Source organism: Homo sapiens, chromosome 1, assembly GCF_000001405.40.
Source record: "Homo sapiens chromosome 1, GRCh38.p14 Primary Assembly".
Classification (NCBI taxonomy): Eukaryota; Metazoa; Chordata; class Mammalia; order Primates; family Hominidae; genus Homo; species Homo sapiens.
This window is the reverse complement of record NC_000001.11, coordinates 195,287,250-195,292,739: the sequence shown is the minus strand read 5'-3', so window position 1 is coordinate 195,292,739 and position 5,490 is coordinate 195,287,250.

Genomic DNA, 5,490 nt, shown 5'->3' with positions numbered 1-5,490 from the left:
ATTAGGAAAATTACTGCTGAAAGTGAGTTGAGAGAATGCTTTCAGTGCATGCTTAAGACAATGTCTGTATATAATAATAAACTAGCAAACATTACAATTTGAAGAAAGTGGAAAGGACTGTTATTTGACTGATTCATATATTTAGTTTCTATTAAATATATATTAAATACCAAAGAATATCATTTTTATAAGAAAGGTGAAAATGAGTTGATTTTAATTGTAACTGCAATTAAATGAACATACAGGTACATATAATGCTATCAATGTATAATCATATTTTGTTGAAATGCATGTTACAAAAATACTAATTTTCCTTCATCAAGTTTATGAAAATATGTATGATACTTAAAATATGTAACATACTTTCCCATAAAATACAATGCATTTTTATAATTATAAATTAAAAATGCAAAAATTTAAAAATCAATAGAAAACAATTTTCCCATACATATATTTTAATTCTATAGCATTATTAACATAATGATAGAATTTAGTGTAAAAAGCATTAAAAGAAATACAAAGTGAAATGCCATAGTAATGTTATTGTGATGAAAGAAATAAAAATGAAAACACAATATATCAAAACATATCAATTTCGATGAAGTAGTAGGCAATGGGAAATTTACAGACAACTTTGCAATTTATAACCTGTTTAATATATGAAAATTTGAAAATCAGTGCAATAAGCTTCCAAATAAAAATGAAAATATTAAGTAACAAATTGATAAAAGTAAAAACCAAACAATGAAAAGGTATAATTTTAAAAAATTAAAGTCCAAAATTTGTGCTTAAAAATAAAAATAAAATAGACCAACTTTGGCAAGTAAGCTCAAAGAGAAGAGATAGATAGAATGTACTAATAAGTAGCTTCAGAAATGTTTTAAAAGGGTATCTAATTGCATATATAAAGGAAGCCAAAATCATTAAAAATACATTTTGAATAACTTTAGACCAAAAGAATTGAAGGCCTATATGAAATTGGAAATGTTATGGGAAAAAATAAAGAAGTATCAAAATTATTGAAAGAGATAGGAAACTTATGCATAATAAAACAAGATTGCAATGTAACTAAATTCTGTCTCCTACCAAACAAGTTACCAATCTCAATCAGATCAAAATGAACATGAAAAATGTACACTGAAGAAAATGGAGTTTACCACCATCTGTGCAAAGTTTCATTTTTTACAAGAGGAAAATAGGTTTATGCAGTGAAGTTAGCTGTCATTTTTTCTACATCATCCATTCATAGCATAAAATGCTTACAAAAACTCAAAACAAAAACTCTTGCCTTGGGCTGCTGTATAACAATAGATTGTAGAGTGGCAACTATACATGCAGGGCAGCAGGTTAGAAGGCCTCAAGGCAGAGTGTTGATTGAGGAGTTTTACTTCCATTTGTTCTTTCCTGCAAGCCTTTGAGAAAATGTTATTTTGTCAACGAGGCCCTCATTGGCCACCATACTTAATTTTGCAACCTGCATCTCCCACACCATGATCATACAAACCCCTTATCCTCAGATACTGTCTCTTTCTAACATACAAAACACTTCCTTTCTTTATATTTTTTTTCTTTAGATATTCTGCTATTTACGTTTAGTGTAGTTTCTGTGACATCAGGGATCATTTTCTGTTCTATTTACAAATACTTCTTGTTGAATAAAGTTAAGACTACATTTATATATCTCTATTTTTTTCTTTTTCTAGATATTTCCATTTTTGCTGAAGTAACTTGTATTGAATATATCATAGTTAAAGCTAAGTCCTGTTTTGATTTTGCCTTCCTTTTACCTTCTGCCAATTTTCAAATAAGTGAAACTATATATGGGAGAAGAAAAACAAATACAAATTCTAAATTTGAAATACAGTTTTATTGGATGACTCTAACAATGCAAAATATACAAGATGGGTTAAGAATAGTTAAGCAGAAGATATATTGAATAAACAACTGCTATTTATGTGCCAGATTGAAAAAATATAATAATTTCAGCTACATCTTTCAACATAGTCCAAATTATTGACATTTTAAGAAATAGTATAATTAGAAATTTAATTTCTAAGGAGTTAATAGCTCAGAATAAAATTTGTCTTTTTCTCTCCAAAGTTAGAAAAACAGTGATGAGCATCCAGATGCCTCATCGCAGGCTAGATATTTCCTAGTTCTTATTTGGTGCCAATAATATTCAAAACTGGTTGTAAAACTGGCAGAGGCTGATCTTACAAATTATGGACTCAGCACCTGCAGGAGATGAAACCTGAACAGAAAGAACAGTGATTATTACTATGACATTAATCATTATGTATTTATATATCTTTACAATTTAAAAAAAATGTTTGTATTGAATATTTATATCTGAACTAATTTGTAAATCAGTTCCAATGCTTAAATAAAATTTTGATTGGTTAAAAAATAGAAATTAGTATATTAATATAGTAACTCTGTCCTCTGTTCAAGGATTGTAATAAAAAGTGATATATTTTCAAAAGATTAAAATATTTCTCAGATAGTTCCACTGCTTCTCATTTTATGGATTTCTTATTTTATGGTGTTTAATATACATTTAGAGCCATATGGCTCATCTGATTTGAAAGTCAGATGGAAAGAGTTGAATAAAAAGGCATTGGCATTTAGATGGTTATCTGCATATAAATTAATGTGTTAATTACACTTTCCCGAATCACATAGAAAGGCATTTGCACAGAAGAGTCAATGTTAATTTTGGAGAGTTGGATACATAATTATTGAGTATTAGAATCATACCTGAGTATATCTGTGAGAATTGTTTTTGAACGTGCACATTAAGATAGTTCAAATTTTCAAATGATTCCTGGCCAGAGCCACTGTCTGTGTAGAATATGCATGTTCTCTCCATCTTTGTGTGGGTTTTCTCTGAGTACTCCTGTTTTCTCCCACTCCTCAAATTTGTGCATGATAGGTTCATTGGCATGTCTACATTTGTTCTAGTCTGAGCTGGTATGGGTGTGTGAAGTGTGCCCTGCAATGGAATGGTGGCCTGTTCAGGACCGGTTCCTGCTTTGCTCCCTGAGCTATGGGATGGGCTTGAGCCACCTGTGACCTTGAACTGGAATAAGCAGTTTGAAAAATTAATGAATGGATGAAAACACATTATTGTCACAAAAATTCATAAAGCATATGATAATCATACAGTTACATGATAGTAAATTATGCAATAAGAAGGCACTCATTAAGCTTGCCATATATGTTACTGTTTCTGTTTGAACTCATGGTGGTAGGACGAGCTCCTTACAATTTTTGCTTTGCAAACATTTATTCCTTGATTTACCGTGCCACCCTTTCAACCACTATTATTGACTTATTTACTAAAAATTGGGTAAGTCATGATTTTACTTGTTTTTATTACTCTTTCCTAGAAGTATATTTAGCTCACATTTACATTAACGTTTAACATTAGAAATGTTTTGTTCTTTATTTAGAAGTTTGTTGATTGTTTTGTGACCAGGAATATGGCCTTAAGAAATTAACTCTTGTTTATATCAATTAGCCTAGAGTAAAATTGGTTTCTTATACATTCTTTTGCTTTAAGTCACAGTTTTTAAGAATCTAACAGTGATGTTAAGAGAGGGCTTACTGAACTAGGTTTGATAAAGAGTAAACGTTGTGGGAAAATGTGATAGTAAAAAGGGGTATAAGCAAAGAGTAGGAAACTTGGGGAAACTTAGCAAAGCCTATTGGGCTGCCTCTCGGCCTTCCTCCATCTTCAGAGATAAGGATGCTCCTTTCTTCTGGGTATAGCAAGGGAATATCTCACGTGAGCATTTATGACCTATTCAAGGAAAACTCAGAGAGTCGTTCCTGCACCCACCATTTATCAATTCAGTATGCCAAGGCACAATATTTTGGTTTAGCATGTTCTGAACTGAATCAAGTTTAAGGACTAAATTTTAAACAAGATATTATTGATTTATTTTTATGTGAAATTATAAATAAGAATAGTGCCCTGGAGTATAAATATTATAGTAATCAATTATTGCATTACATAGGTAATTTAAATATAATCACAATACTTTTAAAGTCATAATTGGAAGAATTATGACATGTTACGCTAATTAGCATCTGGAACATAACATGCTATCTTTCTGAAAGTCCATGATAGGAGGTAAAGTATCTCAAAAATTGAACTTAGATCTTTTATTTTTCAAGTAATACATTACAAATACCCATAATTTAAAGTAAAAGCAAAAACTAAATTAAATGAAAAGAAATACGGTTTTATCAAGACACTGCTTTTACTGTTTATAAATATTGTATATTACTATATACCATAAAGAACTTGTTGAAATTTTTGTTGTTGTTGTTTAAAAAGGTACTATTTACCCTATATATTATGTTAAAATTATTTTCTATTTCTGACTTTAATATTCTTATTGCTAATTTTCTTACCATTCAATAAGAAGTTGAATTTGAGAATGCATTAGCTCTGTTGTGTAGAGTTAATGACTATTTTCCCAGAGGAATGTTTTCATGTTACTTATTTAATGTATTTTGTTTTTGATTTTTACTTATTTAAAAACCACTGATTTTTAAAACAAGAAAATACATCTGAATTTTGATGTGCATTGATATCTTCAAGCATTGTATCCAAATGTTATTTTAAAATTTGAATGTAGGCTCTTTTTAAAAATTCAGTTTCATAAGTTCCTTTTAATTAATGTGTCACTAAATACCAGTTTAGAAGTACTGAATTTTCAGGAGTTCATTTTTTCATCCATTTACTTTTTAAGACTTTATCTTCTCCTCATATTTTATAAATCAAAGATTAACCTGGCATATCTCCCAACTAACTTCAATAACACTATGTGGTATTTAAAACTTATTAGCATATATGTGCCATCTGTTTTCAATTTAAATATAACACATTGAGATTTCTAAACTTGTACATTTCAGGTTATCCTTCTTTAATTTTTTTTCTCGAATTTTCTTTATGTTCTTACAATTGCCTAAACATAATACAAGGATTTTATATTTCAGATCTGAGCTGTAATCTAAGTGAAAGTATATTATGAATATGGGACAATATGAATGCGGTGGTGCTGTGAATAGAGTGAAGATTGGAGTCATGCAGAATTTGAAATTTGAGTCTTGACTCTGTCACTTACAGTTATCTGATTAGACACACACACACACACACACACACTTTCTGAATATGTCAGTAAGTTACATATATCATTGATTATTAAGTGAAGGTATTACATCTGCTTCACAACATTTGCAATGAAGAGAATAACTGGCAAGGTTGCTGTGTGGATTAATTATAATGAAATAATAATACTAATTACAATTATTATTATTCCTAGTATCCTAATGTTTTATATATCTTGACTTTTTTCTTATAACACCTCAAGGAGAATGAAAACAATTATTTCCATTCCATAGATGACAAAACGAAGCAAAAAGAAGTAAATAACCACCGAATGTGACATAGCTAGTAGTGACAGAAAGGATTCAAAGACA